General features: G+C 37.1%; 1 protein-coding gene across 7 annotated transcripts, besides 2 other annotated features; it reads left to right on the forward strand.

Moving 5' to 3' along the window:
- Nucleotides 7,186–7,686: an enhancer, noted in NCBI's record as "H3K4me1 hESC enhancer chr1:196910913-196911413 (GRCh37/hg19 assembly coordinates)". NCBI's record gives its function as "activates a minimal SCP1, AML or CMV promoter by ChIP-STARR-seq in naive H9 embryonic stem cells {active_cell/tissue: H9 hESC(naive)}" and the evidence as "EXISTENCE:reporter gene assay evidence [ECO:0000049][PMID:30033119]".
- Nucleotides 9,141–25,025, forward strand: CFHR2 (complement factor H related 2). 7 transcript variants are annotated; one of them, XM_011509459.3, is made up of 5 exons: nucleotides 9,141–9,341; nucleotides 14,839–15,052; nucleotides 16,255–16,431; nucleotides 23,294–23,476; nucleotides 24,284–25,025. In XM_011509459.3, exons 2-5 carry the CDS (start codon nucleotides 14,860–14,862, stop codon nucleotides 24,481–24,483), a joined length of 753 nt encoding a protein of 250 aa, XP_011507761.1. In that variant the 5' UTR covers nucleotides 9,141–9,341; nucleotides 14,839–14,859; the 3' UTR covers nucleotides 24,484–25,025. The 7 variants fall into 7 exon arrangements, with proteins under 7 accessions (XP_011507761.1, NP_005657.1, XP_011507760.1 ...); NM_005666.4 differs by having other exon boundaries at nucleotides 14,858–15,052; XM_011509458.3 differs by having other exon boundaries at nucleotides 14,858–15,052; nucleotides 16,255–16,419.
- Nucleotides 17,189–17,498: an enhancer, noted in NCBI's record as "active region_2275". NCBI's record gives its function as "activates an Ori minimal core promoter by ATAC-STARR-seq in GM12878 lymphoblastoid cells {active_cell/tissue: GM12878}" and the evidence as "EXISTENCE:reporter gene assay evidence [ECO:0000049][PMID:35858748]".

Consider the following 26,403-nt stretch of genomic DNA (forward strand, 5'->3'; position numbering starts at 1 on the left):
TGCTCAGTTAGTAGGTAAAAGTCAAGTCATTATCCATTAAAACTTATCAACTGATGGAACACAATGGGCACCGAAAACAGAGAACACAAAACAAATAAAAAAGATGAAAATAAAATGTGTTGAAGTTTGTAAAATTATGCAGGATTTTAGAAATAAATTAATGTTTGTACTTTATATGTGCATAAATAAATCAATTAAAAGTTTTTCAGTTTTTTTTGAGACAGGGTCTCACTCTGTGCTGATGTCAATTCCCTGGTCTCAGTTATTGTACTTGATAATACATGGGAGGGCATAATCTACTGAAATTACTTAAAATAAGAAACAGAAAAACAAAAGGAAAATCTAAGTTTCCAAATTAGAAGAATGGAAGAAATATTCAGCAAAAAAATTGGAAAATAATTGTTGAGTACTGCTTCAAAAAAGAATAGACAAGAGAAGATACTGTTAATTCAACTAAAAATTGGCACTAGCTCTGTGAAAATTAACTCTGTGCTCATAAATAAATGATAACATCCCCTAGATTCAGACAAGCCAGTATTTAAATGTCAGAGAGTTTAGAAGAAGCCATCAAAACATTGACATGGTGAAGCCTTTCAAATAGAAGAGAAACCAGGAGAATGTGTTGTTCCATAGACCATGTGAGGCAGGTATTTCAAAATGGAAGGATGGGAAACTCATGTGAATTTTTGCTGATTATTCAGTTTCAACCAATGGATTTGATTACAAAGAAGATATTGATGACTGTTACAAGAGAGGTTTAAGTGTAGTGGTGGGAATGAAAAAATGAAATGAGGCAGAAATTGTAGCTAATACATTGGAGTCATTGTATTATAAAATGAGAAGAGAATTGGGAGATTACTAGAAAGAGATTTGGTTCCACAAAAGATTTTTTGAGCTTTTTTTGTTGTTGTTGCTCTTTAAGATGGAAGATGTTTGGTATTTTTGCATATTGGCAGAAATAATTTGAAAAATGGAGAAATTAATGATACAGTTGAGAGGGAATAATTGAAAGAGCAAAATCGTTGCATAGGAAAGAGGGGATCAAATCTGGTAGAGACCATAACAGGATAGGAGTAAGGATCAACATCCAGTGAAACAGGAGACAATGCAGAAAAGTATGTGTGTGAACAGCAGGTAGTTTTCTTCTGATTGCTTCTATATCTAGATGAAAAAAATAAATAAAGTCATTAGCAAAGTACAAGGTGCGGACTGATGGTTAAGGAGGGAGATAATAAAACAGAGGAGGAGAAAGGAAGTGTCAAAATCATTTAGGCCCATGATCATTAATTTAAAGCAAGGCAAGTCAGCACCGTTGCATTTGGTTTTTTTTTTCAACTTTTCATAATGTAAACCTTTATTTATTTATTTATCTTTATTATTATGCTTTAAGTTCTAGGGTACATGTGCACAATGTGCAAGTTTGCTACGTAGGTATAAATGTGCCATGTTGGTTTGCTGCACCCATCAACTCGTCATTTACATTAGGTATTTATCCTAATGCTATCACTCCCCCTGCCCCCCACCCCATGATAGGCCCTGGTGTGTGATGTCCCCCGCCCTGTGTCTAAGTGTTCTCATTGTTCAATTCCCACCTATGAATGAGAACATGCGGTGTTTGGTTTTCTGTCCTTGTGATAGTTTGCTGGGAATGATGGTTTCCAGTTTCATCCATGTCCCTTCAAAGGACATGAACTCATCCTTTTTATGGCTGCATAGTATTCCATGGTGTATATGTGCCACAGTTTCTTAATCCAGTCTACCACTGATGGACATTTGGGCTAGTTCCAAGCCTTTGCAATTGAGAATAGTGCCACGATAAACATACGTGTGCATGTGTCTTTATAGTAGCATGATTTATAATCCCTTGGGTATATATACCCAGTAATGGGATGGCTGGGTCAAATGGTATTTCTAGTTCTAGATCCTTGAGGAATTGCCACACTGTCTTCCACAATGGTTGAACTAATTTACACTCCTAGCAACAGTGTAAAAGTGTTCCTATTTGTCCACATCCTCTCCAGCATTTGGTGTTTCCTGACTTATTAATGGTCGCCATTCTAAATGGTGTGAGATGGTATCTCATTGCCGTTTTGATTTGCATTTCTCTGATGACCAGTGATGATGAGCATTTTTTCATGTGTCTGTTGGCTGAATAAATATCTTCTTTTGAGAAGAGTCTGTTCTTATCCTTTGCCCACTTTTTGATGGGTTTGTTTTTTTCTTCTAAATTTGTTAAGTTCTTTGTAGATTCTGGCTATCAGCCGTTTATCAGATGGGTAGATTGCAAAAAATTTTCTCCCATTCTGTAGGTTGCCCGTTCACCCTGATGGTAGTTTCTTTTGCTGTGCACAAGTTCTTTAGTGTAATTAGATCCCATTTGTCTATTTTGGCTTTTGTTGCCATTGCTTTTGGTGTTTTAGTGATGAAGTCCTTGCCCGTGCCTATGTCCTGAATGGTATGGCTTAGGTTTTCTTTTTGGGTTTTTATGGTTTTGGGTCTAACATTTAAGTCTTTAATCCATCTTGAATTAATTTTTGTATAAGGTGTAAGGAAGGGATCCAGTTTCAGCTTTCTATATATGGCTAGCCAGTTTTCCCAACACCATTTAAGAAATAGGAAATCCTTTCTCCATTTCTTGTTTTTCTCAGGTTTGTCAAAGATCAGATGGTTGTAGATGTGTGGTGTTATTTCTGAGGCCTCTGTTCTGGTCCATTGGTCTATATCTCTGTTTTGGTACCGGTACCATGCTGTACCATGCTGTTTTGGTTACTGTAGCATAGTTTGAAGTCAGGTAGCGTGAAGCTTCCAGCTTTGTTCTTTTTGCTTAGGATTGCTTTGGTAATGAGGGCTCTTTTTTGGTTCCATATGAACTTTAAAGTAGTTTTGTCCAATTCTGTGAAGAAAGACATTGGTAGCTTGATGGGAATGGCATTGAATCTATAAATCACCTTGGGCAGTATGGCCATTTTCACAATATTGATTCTTCCTATCCATGAGCATGAAATGTTCTTCCATTTGTTTGTGTCCTTTTTTATTTCGTTGAGCAGTGGATCATAGTTCTCCATGAAGAGGTCCTTCACATCCCTTGTAAGTTGGATTCCTAGGTATTTTATTCTCCTTGTAGCAATTGTGAGTGAGAGTTCACTCATGATTTGGCTTTCTGCTTGTCTGTTATTGGTGTGTAGGAAAGCTTGTGATTTTTGCACATTGACTTTGTATCCTGAGACTTTGCTGAAGTTGCTTACCAGCCTAAGGAGATTTTGGGCTGAGACGATGGGGTTTTCTAAATATACAATCATGTCATCTGCAAACAGAGACAATTTGACTTCCTCTTTTCCTAATTGAATACCCTTTGTTTCTTTCTCTTGACGGAAATCCCTGGCCAGAACTTCCAAAACTATGTTGAATAGGAGTGGTGAGAGAGGACATCCCTGTCGTGTGTCAGTTTTCAAAGGTAATGCTTCCAGTTTTTGCCCATTTAGAATGATATTCGCTGAGGATTTGTCATAAATAGCTCTTATTATTTTGAGATGTATTCCATCAATACCTAGTTCCCTGAGAGTTTTTAGCATGAAGGCTGTTGAATTTTGTTGAAGGCCTTTTCTGCATCTATTGAGATAATCATGTGGTTTTTGTCTTTGGTTCTGTTTATGTGGTGAAGTATGTTTATTGATTTGCATATGTTTAACCAGCCTTGCATCCTAGAGATGAGGCCGACTTGATCGTGGTGGATAAGCTTTTTGATGTGCTGCTGGATTCCGTTTGCCAGTATTTTATTGAGGATTTTTGCATCAATGTTCATCAGGGATATTGGTCTAAAATTCTATTTTTTTGTTGCGTCTCTGCCAGGTTTTGGTGTCAGGGTGATGTTGACCTCATAAAATGAGTTAGGGAGGAGTCCCGCTTTTTCTATTGATTGGAATAGTTTCAGAAGGAATGGTACCAGCTCCTCTTTGTACCTTTGGTAGAATTCAGCTGTAAATCCATCTGCTCCTGGACTTTTTTTGGTTGGTAGGACATTAATTATTGCCTCAATTTCAGAACCTGTTATTGGTCTATTCAGACATTCAAATTCTTCCTGGTTTAGTCTTGGGAGGATGTATGTGTTCAGGAATTTATCCATTTCTTCTAGATTGTCTAGTTTATTTGCGTAGAGGTGTTTATAGTATTCTCTGATGGTAGTTTGTATTTCTGTGGGATCGGTGGTGATATCCCCTTTATCATTTTTTATTGCGTCTATTTGATTCCTTTCTCTTTTCTTCTTTATTAGTATTGCTAGGGGTATGTTAATTTTGTTGATTCTTTCAAAAAACCAGTTCCTGGATTCCTTGATTTTTTGAAGGGTTTTTTGTGTGTCTATGTCCTTCAGTTCTGCTCTGATCTTAGTTATTTCTTGCCTTCTGCTAGCTTTTGAATTTGTTTGCTCTTGCTTGTCTACTTCTTTTAATTGTGAGGTTAAGGTGTCGATTTTAGATCTTTCCTGCTTTCTCTTGTGGGCATTTGATGCTATAAATTTCCCTCTCTATACTGCTTTAAATGTGTCCCAGAGATTCTGGTAAGTTGTGTCTTTGTTCTTCTTGGTTTCAAAGAACGTATTTATTTCTGCCTTCATTTCATTATTTGCCCAGTAGTCATTCAGGAGCAGGTTGTTCAGTTTCCTTGTAGTTGTGTGGTTTTGAGTGAGTTTCTTAATCCTGAGTTCTAATTTGATTGCACTGTGGTCTGAGAGACAGTTTGTTGTGATTTCTGTTCTTTTACGTTTGCTGAGGAGTGCTTTACTTCCAACTATGTGGTCAATTTTAGAATAAGTACGATGTGGTGCTGAGAAGAATGTATATTCTGTTGATTTGGGGTGGAGAGTTCTGTAGATTTCTATTAGGTCTGCTTGGTGTAGAGCTGAGTTCAAGTCCTGGATATCCTTCTCAACCATCTATCTCATTAATCTGTCTGATATTGACAGTGGGGTGTTAAAATCTCCCATTATTATTGTGTGGGAGTCTAAGCCTCTTTGTAGGTCTCTAAGGACTTGCTTAGAATCTGGGTGCTCCTGTATTGGGTGCATATATATTTAGGATAGTTAGCTCTTCTTGTTGAATTGATCCCTTTGCCATTATGTAATAGCCTTCTTTGTCTCTTTTGATCTTTGTTGGTTGAAAGTCTGTTTTATCAGAGACTAGGATTGCAACCCCTGCTTTTTTTTTGCTCTCCATTTGCTTGGTAGATATTCCTCCATCCTTTTATTCTGAGCCATGTGTGTCTCTGCACGTGAGATGGGTCTCCTGAATACAGCACGCTGATGGGTCTTGACTCTTTATCCAATTTGCCAGTCTGTGTCTTTTAATTGGGGCATTTAGCCCATTTACCTTTTAGGTTAATATTGTTATGTATGAATTTGATCCTGTCATTATGATGTTAGCTGGTTATTTTGCCCATTAATTGATGCAGTTTCTTCATAGCATCAATGGTCTTTACAATTTGGCATGTTTTTGCAGTGGCTGGTGTCAGTTGTTCCTTTCCATGTTTAGTGCTTCCTTCAGGAGCACTTGTAAGGCAGGCCTGGTGGTGACAAAATCTCTCAGCATTTGCTTGTCTGTAAAGGATTTTATTTCTCCTTCACTTATGAAGCTTAGTTTGGCTGGATATGAAATTCTGGGTTGAAAATTCTTTTAAGATTGTTGCGTATTGGCCCCCACTGTCTTCTGGCTTATAGATTTTCTGCTGAGAGATCCGCTGTTAGTCTGATGGGCTTCCCCTTGTGGGTAACCTGGCCTTTCTCTCTGGCTGCCCTTAACATTTTTTCCTTCATTTCACCCTTAGTGAATCTGACAGTTATGTGTCTTAGGGTTGCTCTTCTCAAGGAGTATCTTTGTGATGTTCTCTGTATTTCCTGAATTTGAATGTTGGCCTGCCATGCTAGGTTGGAGAAGTTCTCCTGGATGATATCCTGAAGAGTATTTTCCAACTTGGTTCCATTCTCCCCGTCACTTTCAGGTACACCAATCAAACGTAGATTTTGTCTTTTCACATAGTCCCATATTTCTTGGAGGCTTTGTTCATTCATTTTTACTCTTTTTTCTCTAAACTTCTCTTCTCACTTTATTTCATTAATTTGATCTTCAATCACTGATATCCTTTCTTCCACTTGATTGCATCAGCTATTGAAGCTTGTGCATGTGTCACGAAGTTCTCGTGCCATGGTGTTTAGCTCCATCAGGTCATTTAAGGTCTTCTCTATGCTGTTTATTCTAGTTAGCCATTCATCTAATCTTTTCTGAAGATTTTTAGCTTCCTTGCAATGGGCTCAAACATCCTCCTTTAGCTCGGAGAAGTTTGTTATTATTGACCTTCTGAAGCCTACTTCTGTCAACTCGTCAAAGTCATTTTCTGTCCAGCTTTGTCCCACGATCTTTGGAGGAGAAGAGGTGCTCTGGTTTTTCAAATTTTCAGCTTTTCTGCTCTAGTTTCTCCCCATCTTTGTGGTTTTTATCTACCTTTGGTCTTTGATGTTGGTGACCTACAGATGGGGTTTTGGTGTGGATGTCCTTTTTGTTGTTGTTGATGCTATTCCTTTCTGTTTGTTAGTTTTCCTTCTAACAGTCAGGTCCCTCAGCTGCAGGTCTGTTGGATTTTGCTGGAGGTCCACTCCAGACCCTGTTTGCCTGGGTATCACCAGCAGAGGCTGCAGAATAGCAAATATTGCAGAACAGCAAATATTGCTGCCTGATCCTTCCTCTGGAAGCTTTGTCCCAGAGGGGCACTCACCTGTATGAAGTGTAAGTTGTCCCCTACTGGAAGGTTGTCTCCCAGTTAGGCTACATGGGGGTCAGGGACCCACTTGAGAAGGCAGTCTGTCTGTTCTCAGAGCTCAAATGCCATGCTGGGAGAATCACCTCTCTCTTCAGAGCTGTCAGACAGGGACATTTAAAGTCTGCAGAAGTTTCTGCTCCCTTTTGTTTAGCTATGCCCTGCCCCCAGAGGTGGGGTCTACAGAGGCAGCAGGCCTAGCTGTGCTGCAGTGGGCTCCACCCAGTTCAAGCTTCCAGGCCACTTTGTTTACCTACTCAAGCCTCAGCAATAGCGAATGCCCCTCCCCCCACCAGGCTGTTGCCTCACAGGTTGATCTCAGACTGCTGCACTAGCAGTCAGCAAGGCTCCGTGGGTGTGGGACCCGCCGAGCCAGGAGCAGGAGAGTGTCTCCTGGTCTGTCGTTTACTAAGACCCTCGGAAAAGTGCAGTATTTGGGCAGGAATGTCCCATTTTTCCCAGGTGCAGTCTGCCATGGCTTCCCTTGGCTAGGAAAGGGAAATCCCCTGACCCCTTGCACTTCCAGGGTGAGGTGATGCCCCGCCCAGTTTCGGCTCCCCCTCCATGTGCTGCACCCACTGTCCAACCAGTCCCAGTGAGATGAACCAGGTACCTCAGTTGGAAATGCAGAAATCTCCCATCTTCTGCAGCTGGGAGCTGCAGACCAGAGCTGTTCCTATTCAGCCATCTTGGAGCGGTGACCGCATTTGTTTTTCTTGTAGACACACTCTGCTGCTTCAGTTCAGAGACAGGGCAGGCAGAGAATTTATTTGCAAAGGATTGAGGTTTTCTAAGACTTGGATTACAGAAAGAAAGAAAGGAATGGGCAGGAGAGTGTGTGCAAGGGATTGACTTACAGGGATGAACCATTGAATCTAATTTGGGTATGGTGGGAAGAGAGAAAGTGAAGGGAAAAGAATAGTGAAAAAGCATCAGTGTCATTGAATGATTGGAACAAATTTAGTAGAGTAAGTGAGCTAAAAAGATTGTGGAAATGGTCTAGAGTGTGACACCTAATATTTAGATAATTTAGGTAGTTTAATTGGAAATGATAAGGTTTAGATAGACTAGATTCAATAGTGGAGACTACTAATAGCTCACAGAGACTTCTCTGGTTTCTTGACTGAACATAGCTATATGCATTCCCATTGATTTCTGAACCACCATCAGTAAGTTTCATCTTAGTGGAAGTCCTTAGGCTGTCCCTTTCTCCAAATTTTGCCATTAAATTTTTGGCTGACTGGCCACTTTGTTGCTTGCCCCAGCTAATATCTTCTACACATATTAATCTTCTCTACTTGCTTCCCACTGTAACCTCTTTATATTCAACAGGATCCTTGGGCAGGGAATTTTCCACGCTATAAAGTCACTCCCCTCCAGTGGGGCAGCAGAGCTTCCAGTCCTCACAGCCTGCTTGCCTACCCAGGGTTCAACTTCTGAGCCACAGAACTGGGCTGTGAGACAAAGGTGGATAAAAGCAGCCACTCTTTTTTACTGAGATTTATGTGGACTTTCTGGAATAAATATTTCCCAACAGTATGCTCTTTGGCCAATTTCTAGAGATTATTTTTATAATTTTATCCAGTTTTATTGCTGCCTTTTGGTGGTGAGTGAATATACCAAGACCCAGAAATACCCATTCTCAAAGTCCCATCGGAACAAAATTATTCTGAAGTAAAATTGGTTCAACAATTTTGGGAACCATTACATACCAAAAATTATTCTTGATTTGACTTTTTATAGTCTACAAAATATGAAAACTATTAAGAAGTTACCTCATTCTTTTTTTTTTTTTTTTTTTGAGATGGAGTCTCGCTCTGTCACCCTGGCTGGAGGGGAGTGGTGCGATCTCAGCTCACTGTGAACTCCGCCTCCCGAGTTCACGCCATTCTCCTGCCTCAGCCTCCCAAGTAGCTGGGACTACAGGCACCTACCACCACGCCCAGCTAATTTTTGTATTTTCAGTAGAGATGGGGTTTCACCAGGTTAGCCAGGATGGTCTGAAGTTACCTCATTCTTAATACCAGTTTTAAGTGGAATTTATAACTAGAACAGTGATGCTGTTATGTTAAGATGAGGACTGATCACCTTCACTTGCTTGCCTACTGATGTAGCTGAACTCTTGGCTAGAAAAAAGAAGGGGCTTCCTCTTTCCTCTTCAATGGCCCATTTCTGAATATTCCAAACTCAGAGACTCAGGGACCACAACAAGGAAATTGAACAGCTTTTATTTTGCTCAAGTTAATATTACATGATAAACTCAGAGTATTATTGTGAAAACACTGATTAGACACTATTTGCTTATTTTGCACAACCCTCCATGAACTTTGATGTTTACCACAAAGGACTTTACTAAACTAGCTTCCAGTTAGTACACTGAAATTCAAAGTCATGCTCATAACTGTTAATGAAAGCAGATTCAAAGCAACACCACCACCACTGAAGTATTTTTAGTTATATAAGATTGGAACTACCAAGCATGTGGCTCCTGGTCAGTGTAATTCTAATCTCACGGATATCCTCTGTTGGGGGAGAAGGTAAGTTCAAAACAGACCTGAATATTTAGTTCCTTTTTCAGATACATTTATCGGTTTTTGTGTGTATGCTTACATATTTTTAAATGAATAAATGGATGAAAATATTTTAAATGAGTTATAATATTAATCTATTTTATGGAAATACTTTCTAACATGCAATTAGCAGGAAAATAGAATAAAATTAGTTATCTCCATCCTCTAAGTTGCAAAGGTAAATGGCCACCAAATAGAGAATGTAAAGAGGAATTAAATGAGGGAAAACCTGCTATACTAACGGTGGCAAGGTGAAGTATTAGTGTAATTCTGCATACACTCTGCAATGCCACTAACTAGAACAATCAATCTCAAAAAGATTTGGCCACCTTCAAAATGCTTTTTGGATTTTAGTTTCCTAGATTTGATCATTTAAATTTTAAAGGTCATTAAAATGGAGGAATTCCCATTTCAATCGAATTATCCTTCAACAGAGGGAAATATATTTTACTGAAACAATAGAAAATATCATTTATATATAAACCAGTGAACTGTCAAGAAATTGCTTCTTCTGAGCTCTTAAATGTTGAGAATGAAGTAATGTATCACCTCTTTATTAATACTACAAACGGCTTCTTATGATATTTTATAAATGGTCCCATTTTATTTCATGTTGAAATTAAGGCCACCATATCAAAGGAATTGCAAACAAAATCTCTACCAAGGTCTAGGATACTAATTAAACTATGTCTGTACTTGGAGTTTCGATCATTATGCTTTACCCTTTGATTTCCAAAAAGTTTTTACTTTACTGTTTTGCTGTTTCCTAATGTTTCCAGACCTTTGAACTTTTATTTGAACAGTTTCTCATCAGTCCTGACATAACAGAACAACATGAACAATAACATGCTTTCCTTTAAATATTTGCCCTTAGAAATGTTGCAAAATATTATTTCTATTGCTTGAAATTCATTTTTTTTTTGAGATGGACTTTCACTCTTGTTTCCCAGGCTGGAGTGCAATGGTGTGATTTCGGCTCACCACAACTTCCATCTCCTGGGTTCAAGCAATTCTCCTGCGTCAGCCTCCCAAGTGGCTAGGATTACAGGCATGCACCACCACGCCTGGCTAATTTTGTATTTTTAGTAGAGATGGGGTTTCTCCATGTTGGTCAGGCTGGTCTCGAACTCCCGACCTCAGGTGATCTGCCTGCCTCGGCCTCCCACAGTGTTGGGATTGCAGGCATAAGCCACCACGCCTAGCCCTTGAAATTCGTTTTATTTTGTTTTCACTTTTAGTGCTGAGTTGTAATCACAGGAGTGCGATTGTATGAGTGTATTTGATTTTTCTTAAGTCTGTGTTTATGGTATTTATTAAGTGGCTTATACACCTATTACACATGGCATTACATGAGGATTTCTAAATAGGGGGGTAGCAGAGGAAAATAAGTGAAAAATATGAGAGAAATATGTAGAATTTTGACAATTCCTAACCCTCCTCCCACCAAAAAAAAGTTCAAGCTTCAATCCAGTCTCTGGGAGAAACTTCAGTGAAATTCTATCTAAAGGTTGCCTAGATGTTAAATGATCTGTAAGTGTGTGTTACACTGTCATTTAGGTGTCTACTGAGAGACCTGCCAAACAGCAAAAACAACACACTGAAGCAACACATTTGTATACATAGAAAGCTGCATGCTTCCAGTAGCAAAATATTTATCAAGCACTATGTTGTGCTTCATGTAGCAAAGAAGCTGGAAGAAAATGACAACCCTAACCACACCTCACTGCAACTTACAGTGTCCTAAAGAAAAGCAAAATGTAAATAGGCAAATAAATTGCAAGGCTATATATAGGTGACTGTGAGTGAGTGTGTGTGTGTGTGTGTGTGTGTGTGTATAAACAGTCATGCATCACTTAATGATAGGGACACGTTCTGAGAAGTGCGTCCTTAGGCGATTTCCTTCTTATTCAAACATTATAGAGTGGACTTACACAAACCTAGGTTTTATAGCCTACTAGGTAACTAGGCCATATGGTATAGCCTGTCGCTCCTAGGCTGCAAACCTGTACAGCATGTTACTGTACTGAATACTGTGGGCAACTGTAGCACAATTGTAAGTATATGTTTATCTCAATATAGCAAAGTACAATAAAAATACAGTATAAAATATTAAAAACGGCAGACTTGTATAGGGCTTTTACCATGAATAGGGTGTGTAGGACTGAAAGTTGCTCTCAGTAAGTCATTACATGAGTGGTGAGTGAATGTGATGGCTTAGAACATCACCATACACGACTAGAGGTGGTATAAACACTGTATACTTAGGCTAAACTAATTTATTTTATTTATTTATTTACTTCAATAGTTTTGGGGGAGCAGGTGGTTTTTGGTTACATGGATAAGTTCTTCAGTGCTAATTACTGAGCTTTTGATGCACCCAGGATAGACTAAATTTATTTTAAACTTTTCTTCGATAATAAATTAACCTTAGTTTATGTTGACCTTTTTACTTCATCAACTTTAATTTTTATGTCTTTCGAGATAATATTTAGCTTAAAAAACATTGTAGAGATGTACAAAAGATTTTTTCTTTCTGTTCTTGTGCTATAAGCTTTTATCTTTTAAATATTTTACTTATTTATTTACTTTTTAAACCTTTTTGTTAAAAACAGACACAAACACACATATTAACCTCAGCCTACAAAGGGTTAGGATCATCAGTATCACTGTCTTCTTCCTCCGCTCTTGTCCCACTAGAAGATCTTCAGGGCAGTAACAGGCATGGAGCTGTCCTCTCCTATGATAACAAAGGTTTCTTCTGGAATAGTTCCTGAAGGATCTGCCTCAGGAAACATTAACCGTTTTACAGTTAATTTTTTTAACCAGTAGAAGAAGTTAACTATAAAATACTGATAACAATTATACTATATGAAATACATTAACCAGTAACACTTCTATATTGTCATCATCAAGTATTATGTACTGTACAAAATTGTGTGTGGCATATTTTTATGTGACTGGCAATGCTGTAGGTTTATTTACACCGGCATTGCCACAAACATGTGAGTAATATATTACACTGCTATGTTATGATGGCTATTAGGTGATAGGAATTTTTCAGCTACACTATAATCTTATGGGTCCACTGTCACATGAGCGATCAGTCATTGACCAAAATGTCATTATGTGGTGAATATCTGTACAACTGTATATATGTATGTGTGTGTGTGTGTGTGTGTGTGTATCCCAGAAGAAATATATTCATAATATTCTATCAGAATGTTGAGACAAGAAAAATTATTTTCTACTTTTGAAGTGGGTGGTTGTGTAAAGGAGGCTTGCAAGAAGACATTAACACTCCTAGCTAGCACCATTGCAGATATGCACAATGAATACTTGATGAATGTCATAGAGTTAATTCTGAAGCATAGGTACAATATAACTGGGTGATGAAAACCAAGTTATTCTGGATAGCAAAGAATATGTAAGTACAAATGTATGAAAATAAACTACTATAATTTTGGAGGAGTGAAGGATAACTAAAAGAGTTATGGTAGGTTAATACTATCAAGATGGGAGTCTTTCCCTCAATACCTTTACCAAAACTATCTAATGTCAAATTTTAAACAGTTAGATAATCAGTTTCACGTTTCACAAAGTGAAAATATTTCAAATATTGTGCAACATTAAACATTACTTCTAGACAGATGAAAAAGAGAAATTTCTGTTGATTTGTCAGCTTAATTTCTGCACACATCTTCCAAATAAGGTGAAAAATAAAATTATTTCTTATGCAACAGTACTATATTGCAACAATATCTTGACATAAAAACAAAGAGCAGTAATATATGAGGAACTATCTTGAGCTAAATACATACTCAAAGATAAAGTATATCAAACCCATGGAATGTACAACATCAAGAGTGAACCCCAACATAAACTATGAACTTTGGGTGATAATTATATTGACGGTGAGGGAGGTTATGCATGTGGTAGGGAAGAGGAAGTGGTATATAGAAATCTCTACCTTCCACTCAATTTTGCTGTGAAAAACTTGTTAATAAAATATAAAGTCTTATAAAAATATGTGTGTATATATATGAATGTGTACACAAAGAAAGAGTCAAAAAGTATGAAGATTTCACCCATTTTCTACATTGTTTTAATTTTTCCTGCACCATCGTGTATATGGATGTATATATACATATATACACTAGTCCTTTAGTATCCTCAAGGAATTGGTTCCAGGACTCTACCCACCCCCAGTAGATACCAAAATCCAAGGATATGCAAGTCTCTAAGACAGAATGATGTAGTATTTGTATATAACCTGTGTATATCCTCCCAAACAATTTATTTTATTTTATTTTAATTTTTTTTGAGGTAGAGTCTTGCTCTGTCGCCCCCAGGATGGTGTTTAGTGGCATGATCTCGGCTCACTGCAACATACCCCTCCTGGGTTCAAGTGATTCTTCTGCCTCAGCCTCCCAAGTAGCTGGGATTACAGGTGTGCACCACCACACCTGGCTAATTTTTGTATTTTTAGTAGAGATGGGCTTTCGCCATGTTGGCCAGGCTGGTCTCAAACTCCTGACCTCAAGTGATCCACCTACCTCAGCCTCCCAAAGTGCTGGGATTACAGGTATGAGCTACCACACCCAACCCTCTCATACAATTTAAAGAATCTCTAGATTATTTATAATACCTAATACAATGTAAATGCTATACAAATAGTTGTTATATTGTATTTTTAATTGCATTATTTTTATTGTTTTATTGTCTTTTTATTGTTTTTTTCCGAATATTTTTGATCTGCAGTTGGTTGAATCAGAGGATGTGAAACCAGTGGGGCTGACCGTATATATATGTGTGTATACAAGTATAAATATATAAATACAAATATACAATACATATTTGTATATACAACATTAACCAGAATTTAGCTCTAACTTTATCTTGAGTTGTTCTTAGTGATTTTCTTATATTCTCTCAATTATTTCCACTGAAACTATATTAACTTTGTAACCAGAAAGTATTCAAAATGATATTAATAAACAAACAACAAAACTAACTACCCAACATCTTTTCTGCACCAGAAAAAAAATAGGACAGAGTTTCTGGTGGAGATACCTATGACAGTCAATGAGAATAGAGAAAATAAGTAAATTGAGAGCTAAGAACAACCCTGTCACTCCTCTACTGTATACTAAGTAGATCAGGAAGATTTGCTAGTCTTACACTCTGCCTTCATTCTTAAATTGTTGTGTGAGGGTTTTCTTCTTGAAGACATTGCAGGAGAGTTCATATTTCATATCACTCCAAAATATAGATTTTATATTCATTAACAATTACCTCCTCAAATACTCGTGTACTCTTAGTTAGTGATGTCTTTTCATTCCTAATTTGGACACTGGAGAGCATTTAAGCTAAAGGCATTTAAGCTAAATGAAAGAAAAAAACTAAATGAGATGATTAAAATATAGTCTAGTGATTTATTTATGTAGCTTATTATGTAATTCTTCAGTTTTGTGTTATTTTCCCAGCAATGTTCTGTGATTTTCCAAAAATAAACCATGGAATTCTATATGATGAAGAAAAATATAAGCCATTTTCCCAAGTTCCTACAGGGGAAGTTTTCTATTACTCCTGTGAATATAATTTTGTGTCTCCTTCAAAATCCTTTTGGACTCGCATAACGTGCGCAGAAGAAGGATGGTCACCAACACCAAAGTGTCTCAGTGAGTAAATGCCCTGTTCATTAAATGGATGTCATTCAATGAACAGAGAAGGATATGCCAGACAAGATCATAAACACTTGATAATCACAGGAGCAGTGACCAGAGGAGCTGGAAAGATGGGAGATGTAGTCCTTCTATTTTGAGATGGCTCCTATGAGAATCAATGAAGAATAAATATGTCAACTGTCTTGCATTACCCGGAAATTCTCTACATGTTGAAATATATCAATTTTTTTAAACTGATGATTAATATATTTGACTGCTAATATTTCTTTACTAATATTCATTTGGCAGCAGCCTGATCATAGTTTTCCTTTTAAATGTCATTTTATACATATTCTGTTTTGAATTTAACATTCTTTTGCATATTACAAGGAGGTTTAGCATTTTCACTTTTATATTTCAATAAATAATTTCTTTGGTCCTTCAAAGTGTAGCTATATTAACCCTCCAATAAATGTAGAGAGCAGACTCCAATGATAACAGGTATATTAAAAGAGAAAACAACTGGGAGACAGATAGATGAGGCAACAAAGGAGATAGCAATGATCTTTCTCCTAAGAAACATTTATGAGAGTTAAGAGAGAAATAGATATATGTAGATGTTCTTTTGTCCCTAAAAGAGTTGATAAACATAAAATATTTTATTATAAAAAACATAGAGTAACAACATGAAATATTTTCTTCTATATGTACATATAAAGGAACCAAAAATATATTTCATCATATATATAGTAGCAAGACTTAACTTCTTTTGAAAATGTTTATATTTGATTTCAGCTTTGAAAGCTTTCCTTTTTGGTTTTTTGTTTGTTTGTTTTGTTTTGTTTTGTTTTGTTTTTGAGACAGAGTCTCATTCTGTCACCCAGGCTGAAGTGCAGTGGTGCCATCTCGACTCACTGCTACCTCTGCCTTCTGGGTTCAAGTGATTCTCCTGTCTCAGCCTCCAGAGTAGCTGGAATTACAAGTGCACACCACTATGCCCGCTAATTTTTGTATTTTTAGTAGAAACAGGGTTTCACCATGTTGACCAGGCTGGCCTCGAACTCATGGCCTCAAATGATCCACTCACCTCAGCCTCCCAAAGTGCAGGGATTACCAGCTTGAGCCACTTCACCCTATTTATTAAAATATTTTAAAATGCAGTTGTACTTTTTCTTTGCTACTTCCATCTTGTCTATTAATCTGTTTTTGGTCTTTAGGACTGTGTTTCTTTCCTTTTGTGGAAAATGGTCATTCTGAATCTTCAGGACAAACACATCTGGAAGGTGATACTGTACAAATTATTTGCAACACAGGATACAGACTTCAAAACAATGAGAACAACATTTCATGTGTAGAACGGGGCTGGTCCACTCCTCCCAAATGCAGGTCCACTAGTAAGTGCAATGTTGTTCTCTCAGATGCTGTTATATTATAAAGTGTAAAAGAAATAAATCTTTTTTTACAGATTAAATATAGGTTAAATATAGGTTTTGCCACATACTTCTATCATTATTCATTTGATTCTCAGTTCCAATTGTGTCTAAGTGGATGTGCAATAATATAGTTTGCCTACCTATATAAATCAAATATATGTGATAAGTAAAAATATTAGACAAGAATACACCTTGAAGATAATCCCTTGAAGTTTAAGTAATACCTGTGTGTGGTTTATAGTATCGGGTTAGTTGACAAGAAATGGTTACAAAACTGATGTATTGAAGTGAAAATAAGTCCAATTCTAGTTAAAATGTCTTATAAGTAAGACAGCATTTAATATTTATCTTTATTTAAATTCATATGCTCTATTCAATAAATCATCAATTCTTAAGTTTTAGAAAGTCCATACTTCTGAGAGGTATGTTTATTTGTGAGTAGCTTAGCATTTGGAAAACGATTCTTTTGGAAACCTGTGGTATAAATGATGGCACCTCCCAGTCCTGTGTGAACTCTTGCAATTCTTCGTCTTTATAGCTCCTCAGTAATTGTTTTTTGCCCAGCCCAATAAGATTCCGTCCTATGCTTGCACAGCTCTGTATTCAACTAAAAACAAAAGGAGCCCGATGGAAACTTCTATAGCTCTTTCTCTTCATACCACTTTCTCTCTGCTACTATGCCCAGTAACTTCTGGCCACCATAGTCTCCAAGACTGACATTATTAGTCTCAACTAAAGAAGACCATTGAGTTCTTGCTGGGTTCTCCCTCACAGCACAGAGTCTAGAAAAGGCCTGTCAGCAAACAGATGGGGCTGTGTGCTGTGGTAGTTTGGGGTTTCAAGTTTTTTTCATTTTCTTAGTCATCACGGTCATGTGCTGGGTGATTTCCAGTGTTCTTGAAATATATTTTGTACAGTTTTCTAATTTTTTTCCAGTGGGAGGTTATGTTGATACCAGCTATTCCATCCAATAGGAAATAGAATCCGTGGTATGCCTTTCAAAAGATGTTATGTTATCAAATATTATTCCACACCTTTAATTCTTAATTTTAAACCTCTAGAGCAGGGCACAGTGGTGTGTGCCTCTAGTCTCAGCCACTGGTAAGTCTGAAGTAGGAGGATCACTTGAGCCCAGGTGTTCAAGGCTGCAGTGAGCTATGACTGCACCAGTGCACTTCAACCTGGGCAACAGAGTGAGACCCTGTCTTCACTAAATTTACACTTCTAGAAAATTGAGTCTTCTTAAAACAGCTGAAACTGTGACAGTTTTTCAGTAAACAGTTAAGTCATAGCCTCTTTCTATTACTAGGGGATTAAACATTATTAATATTTGCAAAAAACAAAAAAAAAGAACAAATGTTATGAATACCAGAAAATTGCAGTGATTGAATAGGGTTTAGGATTTATAGCCTTCAGTGATGGCATAAATATTTCCATGCTCTATGTCATGAACAAGCTCTCTTCATTTCGTGGGATGATGGCTATTGTCAGCCCAACAATTATAATTTAGAAGCTTGACAAATTAAGTTTGACCAGCTGTATCCCATACAAGCTGGCTCTTGTGTACAGTCTGTAAGACTTTGTTAGGCTTTGATTAAGTCTGTTGCTTTGTGACACAAAAAATATCCCGGGTTTAATTCATGTTTTCCCTGTCTGAGAACTAGAATCAACCATACCTCCAATAAGTTCTGGTTCCATTCAGTGGGTAATGACATTTAGAAACTAAGTTGCCAAAATAAACTTGCTTCAAAACTTAGCACATTTTATTTAAGCTGACAAAGAACACATCTTTTTGTTCAAGTTCTCACAATATTGCTACCTTTCCCTCTTTGCCTGTCCCTTATTCCAAAAGCATAAGGCAACATATTGAGGTTATCAGAGTAGATGGAGGAAGTCAGAATCTCCAAAGTGGAAGAATTTAGCGGAACACTCTATGTCCAAGGTTGAATGGTAGCTCAAGAACGCTGTGGAGAGTTAATAAAGTTTCAGGGCAACTAGACTCCTAATGATAGCTGCACAGTCTGTTTTTTCATGTAAGGTAACATTTTGCAAGTTATGGTAATCCATGTTGCAGGGATTAGTACAGTGCAATCTCTGGGGGCTGTTATTCCGTTTACAACACCATGCAATAACCTTATATGAATAAAGCAGCTGGGAAACCCTACATCAGCCAAGATTATTTATTTATTTATTTATTTATTTATTTACTTACTTATTTACTTATTTATTTTTTGAGACAGAGTCTCACTGTGTTGCCCAGGCTGGAGTACAATGGTGGGATCTTGGCTCCCTGCAAATTCTACCTTCAAAGTTCAAGCAATTCTTGTGCCTCAGCCTCCTGAGTAGTTGGGATTACAGGCATGTGTCACCACACCCAGCTAATTTTTGTATTCTTAGTAGAGCCAGGGTTTCACCAAATTGGCCAGGCTGGTCTCCAACTCCCAACCTCAGGCGATCCACCAACCTTGGTATCCCAAAGTGCTGACGTAACAGTCATGAGCCACTGTACCCAGACAGATCAATTGTTTTCAATGGCATTTTGTTTTTACAATTAGATTTTTTAAAAGATGATAATCAATAAAGAATTGCCATCCAAATATTGGAATAAAATACAGAGATTTAGGGATACAAGTTTTATATAAGTGAAATGAGTCATATTCTAGTGGGATTTGCTTGAGTAAACTGCAATCAAACCATTAAAGTGCCTATAACAGTACATAAAACTAGTTACTTTAAATATTTATGAGATTATTAGAAAATATTTCAATTTTTTGTGTATACTTGATTTATTTGGATTATTTACTTTGTCTTGAATGTCAATTATGTAGTTTACATAAGAATTAATATATACTTTTATGAACTAACCATTAATGAAAGATGATTAAATAAGAAAAATAAACACATATTCATATACATAACTATTTCTAATTGAATCAGAAGATATTCATAATGAGTTAGTTTTTATAAACATACTAGTGATGGAGTTGAGAATAATGGAAAGGTTCAAAAAACCTAGAAGATGGGTTTTTTAAAAAGTCTTTGATATTTAGTTACCCATTTGGTAAAATTGGGAATAATTTGCTTTATAATTTCCCTCCAACTTTCTGCCCATATGGGCGAAATTGGCCAAAAGAAAGGGGCTACAGTCCCCACACAAGTTCAAAACCCAGCAGGGCACTCCTTAAATCTTAAATCTCCATAAAAGGTCTCATTTGACTCCTCGTCTCACATCCAGGACACACTGATGCAAGGGGTAGGCTTCCAAGGCCTTGGGTAGCTCCACTTCTGTGGCTTTGCAGGGTTCAGCCCCCAGGGCTGCTCTCATGGGCTAGCATTGAGTGCCTGCAGCCTTTCCAGGTGCATAGTACAAGCTGTTGGTGTATCTACCATTCTGTGGTCTGGAGGAGAGTAGCCCCCTACTCATAGCTCCACTAGGCAGTGCCTCAGTGGTGACTCTGTGTGGGGGTTCCAACCCTACATTTCCCTTCCACTCTGCCCTAGCAGAGGTTCTCCATGAACCTGCAGACTCCACCCCTGCAGACTTCTGCCTGAACATGCAGAAGTTTCCATACAACCTCAGAAATCCAGGAAGAGGTTCCCACCTGGAACCAAAAAAAAACCTCAAATCTTGTCTTCTGTGCACCCACAGGCACAACACCATGTGGAAGCTGCCAAAGTTCGAGGTTTGCACCTTCTGAAAAAATGACCTGAGCTATATGTTGGCCCCATTTAGCCACGGCTGGAGCTGGAGCAGCTAGGACTCAGCAGGGTACCAGGTCGTGAGGCTGCACACAGCAGCAGGGCCCAGGCCCATGAAAATATTTTTCCCTGCTAGGCCTTTGGGCCTGTGATTGGGAAAGCCTCAAAGATCTCTGACATGTCCTGGAGTCATTTTCCCCATTGTCTTAGGCTATTAACATTTGGCTTCTTGTAACTTATGCAAATTTCTGCAGCAGGATTGAATTACTCCCCAGAATATGAGTTTTCTCTTCTACCACATGGTCAGGCAGCAAATTTTGCAAACTTTTATACTCTGTCACTCTTGAACATTTTGCTGCTTAGAAATTTCCTACTCCAGTTACCCTAAATCATCTCTCTCAACTTCAAAGTTCCACACATCTTCAGGGCAGGGGCAAATTGACACTAGTCTCTTTGCTACAGCATAGCAAGAGTGACCTTTGCTCCAGTTCCTAATAAGTTTCTCATCTCCATCTAAGACCGCTTCAGCCTGGACTTCATTGTCCATATCTCTATAAGCATTTTGGTCAAAACCATTGAACAAGTCTCAAGGGGGTTCCAAACTTTCCCTCATCTTCCTATCTTCTTCTGAGCCCCCTAAGCTGTTCCAACCTCTGCCTGTTACCCAGTTCCAAAGTCACTTCCACATTTTCAGGTATCTTTATAGCAGTGCCCCCTGTACCAATCTACTGTATTAGTCCACTGTCACACTGCTATAAAGAACTTCTCCAACCTGGGTAATATATCAGTAAAATAGGTTTGGCCAGACATGGTGGCTCACACCTGTAATCCTAGCACTTTGGGAGACAGGGGCAGGTGAATCACTTGAGGTCAGGAATTTGGGACTAGCCTGACCCACATCGTGAAACTCTGTCTTTGATAAAATATAAAAATTAGCTGGGCATGGTGGTGACTCCTGTAATCTCGGCTATTTGGGAGGCTGAGGCAGGAGAATCACTTGAGCTGGGGAAGCAGAGGCTGCAGTGAGCCGAGATAGTGCCACTGTACTGCAGTCTGGGTGACAGAGCGAGACTCTGTCTCAAAAAAATAATAATAATAAATAAATAAAATAGGTTTAATTGACTCACAGTTCCACATGGCTGTGGCTTCAGAAAACTTACAATAATGGCAGAAGCGGGGGCAGGCACTTCTTCACAAGGCAGCAGGAGAGAGACAAGTGGATGAAGGAGGAACTTCCAAACACTTATAAAACCATCAGATCTCATGTGAACTCACTCACTATCATGAGAACAGCATGGGGGAAGCCATCCCCATGATCCAACCACCCCCCACCAGGTCTCTGCCTCAATATCTGGGGATTACAATTCAAGATAAGATGTGAATGGTGTGAGTGGAGACACAAAGCCTAACTATATCAGGTGGCAAGTATGTGCAATAAATGATGTGAATGCAAAACAGAGCAATCTCAAGTGCTCCAGCTACCAATATCTCCTCAGTCTTCTGATATCATTCCCTTCTTGTATTTTTGATAGATTTGGAATAGTTTAATGTAATTAAGTCAAAATAGATGTATATTTTTTCAAGTTATGAGAAAAATATTGTATAGTATTCGTTAGTTCTACATGTCACTATTAGTTTATGCCTTATGGTCAGTCTGGGAAGTGTTCAGTCATTTTTTTGTTTTCAGCTCAATACTTTTTCTCTTCTCTTTCTGGATTGCCTCTCCTTATTTGTTGTTGTTTGTCTTATTCTAAAGTTCTCTAAGCTCAGTTCAGCTTTCTGTTTTCAGTCTATTTTCAGACTGGGTAATTAATATTGCTCTGTATTGAAGTTCATGAATTTATTCATCTGTCATCTCCCAGTGTGTTATTAAGCCTATCCAGAGGATTTTTTTAATTATTGTTTTACTATTTGGGTTTATAATTCCTATTGGATTTTTTAAAGCATCATCAATTTCAACATCTGTGTCTTCTTAGTGTTGTCTTTTGTTATTAATAATTGTCTTTTCCCTTTTGAGAGTTTCCTGGTCCTTAATATGAAGAGTAATTTTTAAATTTATTCTAGATATTTTAGGTGTTATATTTTGAGTACTCGATTGCAAAAATCTTATTTGGCAGGTTCCATTGCTGCCATGGTGGGTATAAGCCCAGGTTTCCCATTTGGCTTCTGCTGACATCAATCATGGGAAAAGGGAGCGGTGTCTTGTTACTTGACCATGTGGGTAGAAGTCTAGGTTCCTCAGTTGACCTCTGTTTATCTAGAAGTGTGGAGGGTGGTCATTGGCTTCTTAGGATCTTTCCTACAGTATGTAAGTTATTGTTAAAAATGATTTTTGTCTTGTAAGGCTGCTCTTTTCCTGGGCTTTTGGGTATAGAAAGTAGGCTCTTCTGGGGATTTTCTTTTTCTGTCTGAACCTCATATCAATACTGGGTTGCAGTCTTCTCCAGTGTCCTATCCAGGATACAAAGGAGTCCAAAAGAAAACCCACATGACACCCTGCTGTGTCATTCCTTGAGTCCTGAAGTCTCCAGCAACTTCAAATTCTCTACATCTTTCAGAGTCTTTTTATGTTCTTTTCCTTTTTTTTTTTTTTTACTTTGTGTTCAAAATTTGAGTTGTACTTAGCATAAGGAAAAGGTAGAAAAGTTTGTTCCTCATTTTGCCAATACCAAGAATCCAGCAATTCCCTTTTAGTTTCTATTAATTTGTATTCTTTAAATTTTTCCAGGAGTTAATGTTTCTTTTGTAAGGCAAATGAAAATAAAGAATGAAATGACTACAGACCCAATAAACTCCAAAGAATGTTGAATTTAAAATAAGAAACTTTCTGTGTTTTGTCATAGCTTTCTATCTGTTTAGCATGTATTCATTTAGAAAAACATTTCTTAATCCTGGAATACTACAAAGTGTCATCTTTGTTAATGCTGTATGTGTTCATTCAGTGAGGAGAAAAGAACTGAAAATTTAACTTTCAGTTTGTAGGATAAATTTTACTCCGGGAATCATTTCATTCAGCACAAATCACAAAAGCCCTGATAGACTATAAAGTGCCTTGTTTGCATTTGCCTTATTTGAACTTGTATTTTTATTTACTCTCCCAGTAAATCAAATGATGTTTTTTTAGTTTCTGCAGAAAAATGTGGGCCCCCTCCACCTATTGACAATGGAGACATTACTTCATTCCTGTTGTCAGTATATGCTCCAGGTTCATCAGTTGAGTACCAGTGCCAGAACTTGTATCAACTTGAGGGTAACAATCAAATAACATGTAGAAACGGACAATGGTCAGAACCACCAAAATGCTTAGGTAAGTACTTTAATATTCTCATGGATTCTGGAAAAATCAGTGTGATGAGTCTGATATTTCACTGTTTGTAATAGAATTTTCACAGATTAACAAACAAGCATTCTGCTGAATGCTTGCCTACCAAATGTCTATATGATAGAATGTAAAGTTTAGAAATTTTTCTCTTTATATTTATATTTTATTTAAAAACATTTAGTTGATAAATAAAAAGAATACATATTTATTTTCTACAACATGTTGATTTGATATATTTATAAAGCAATGATTACTATAAATTAATTAACACATTCATCACCACCTATGGTTACCATTGTGTGTAAGTGTGTGTGTGTGTGTGTGTGTGAGAGAGAGAGAGAGAGAGAGATGAGGACTCTTAAAATCTGCTCTCTTTTCAAATTTCAAGTAAATAATACCATATTATTAGCTATTAATGTCATTACATTTCTCTATTTGATTCCCAGTTCTTGTTCATCTTATTACTGAAAGTTTGGATTCTTTCACCAATATCATAATCAAACAAAAACAGCAATGATAGGTTCTAAAATGCAACTATCTTAATATGACAATTGATGTTATGAATCTTCAGTGATAACATCTAATTATCATCCATTAAACATAGTACCTCATTTTTACATCATTTACCATTTTAAATTTACTTAAATCTATATTTTGTTTTTACAGCATTAGTTTGGAAAGGATTTTGAGAAGTAATTCCTCAACCATCATATAACATTCTACTTGAAAACCTGAGTCTATGAAGATTTGCATACTACTTAATGTTTTATGTTCATTTTTTTCTACTTTCAGATCCATGTGTAATATCACAAGAAATTATGGAAAAATATAACATAAAATTAAAGTGGACAAACCAACAAAAGCTTTATTCAAGAACAGGTGACATAGTTGAATTTGTTTGTAAATCTGGATATCATCCAACAAAATCTCATTCATTTCGAGCAATGTGTCAGAATGGGAAACTGGTATATCCCAGTTGTGAAGAAAAATAGAATCAATGGCATTACTATTAGTAAAATGCACACCTTTTTCTGAATTTACTATTATATTTGTTTTCAATTTCATTTTTCAAGTACTGTTTTACTCATTTTTATTCATAAATAAAGTTTTGTGTTGATTTGTGAAAATGCAATTACAATCTGAGATGTGTCACAATGGTGAGGACTATCTTCACCAAATCTAAGTAACAACCTAGGAATTGTCTTTTTTTTTCTTTTTAAAAAAATTGACAATAACTGTATATATTCATGGAGTACATAGTAATGTTTCCATATATATAATGTATAATGGTCAGTTAGGGTAATTAGTATATCCATTATCTCAAACATTTTTCATTTCTTTGGGTTAGGAGCATTAAATATTCTCCTTCCAGCTATTTGGTACTTCATAGTATATTACTGGTAACTGAAGGAATTATATCTAGACGTTACCCCAGGTATCTTGAAATGTCAATTCCTAACAGTCACAGCCTGGGAGCTCATGTTTGCCTTCTTTCAGAGCTTGTAACTATGTATATCCACATAAATAATCAAAATAATTTGTGTTTTGGTGAGAATTAGCAACTGCAATGGCTAGTTTTATGTGTCAACTTGGCTAAGCTATCAAGCCTAGTTATTTAATCAAATGTTAATCTAAGTGTTGCTGTGAAGAAGGTATTTTATAGATGGAGTTAATAACATCTACAATAAGTTGACTTTAAGTAAAGATTACCCTTGATAATGTGGGTGGGTCACATTCAGTCAATTGAAGCAGTTAGAGTCAAAACTTAGGCTTCCCAAAGAAGAAGTTCTACCTCAAGACTGTAACATCAACCCTTGTCTGAGCTTCTACTCCATTAGCCTATGAATTTTGGACTTGCATATACCCACAAATTAAGTAAACCAATAGCATAAAAATATCTCTCTCTATCTCATCTATCTACATACATCTCACACTGTACATTCTGTTTCTCTGGGAAACACTAATACATCATCTTACCACTTAATTTTTTTAACCAATTAAAATCTGTCACTATCTTCCTAGGATTTGTATCACTTAATATTCACTAGAGAGGTTAGTTTAATCAATTATAAAATTCTCATTTAACAAGAACAACTAAGACCTGGTGAAGAGAGAACTTTTCCAAAGTCTGACTATAAGCTGGTAATTGAATTCACCATCAAATTACAAATCATTTATTTTAAAGAATCTGGGGTTAAAATTAACCTGGCAGGCACCAATATTTTTCTGTTTTGCAAAACAGACCACATATTTAATGTTATTTCTCTAATATTTATGGTCATCTGATCTCTAAAACCTGGCGCTTGGAAGGTAGGATCTGTTGATGAAGGGTCAGAGCGAAGGAGTGCCATGATTTAAACTGTATCTTCCCAAATCTCCATCAGAACCTTTGACACACATTTTTCGTTCAAATATTTCTCTCAATATTGCTGGGTTAAATTGTTCATTTTCTTTACTTTCCACCATGAGATGTTTTAATTTCACCAAACTTGTTAGCAGCAACCAAGAAATTGTATGTCTACTAATTTCTCCATCATATTGTATCTTATTCTAAATACATTTTTTCACAAATTCTGGAGTCAAAGTCATATAATCCAAACTCCACTCCTACTATTCATCCCAGATAATCTTCCTCAGAGGATTTTCCCTTCAAAGAAAAAGTGGATTGGTAACACCCTGGCAATAGAAGTTTGTCAGACCCTCCATCCTACCCTTTTTTTAATTTCATGGTGCCTTTACCATTTCATGAAGAGGGTGGGAAGCTGAGTGTCCATTTCTGATACCACTCTGCAACTCCTACACTGCAGTGATCACAGCTAACAGCAGTGATCTTGCTTTCAGAACTAACAATTCACACTTTTACCTATCATTACATCCACTTTTAAAAGTTATTTTAAACAGCAATAATGTCA

The sequence above is a fragment of the Homo sapiens genome, chromosome 1, assembly GCF_000001405.40.
Source record: "Homo sapiens chromosome 1, GRCh38.p14 Primary Assembly".
Taxonomy (NCBI): Eukaryota; Metazoa; Chordata; class Mammalia; order Primates; family Hominidae; genus Homo; species Homo sapiens.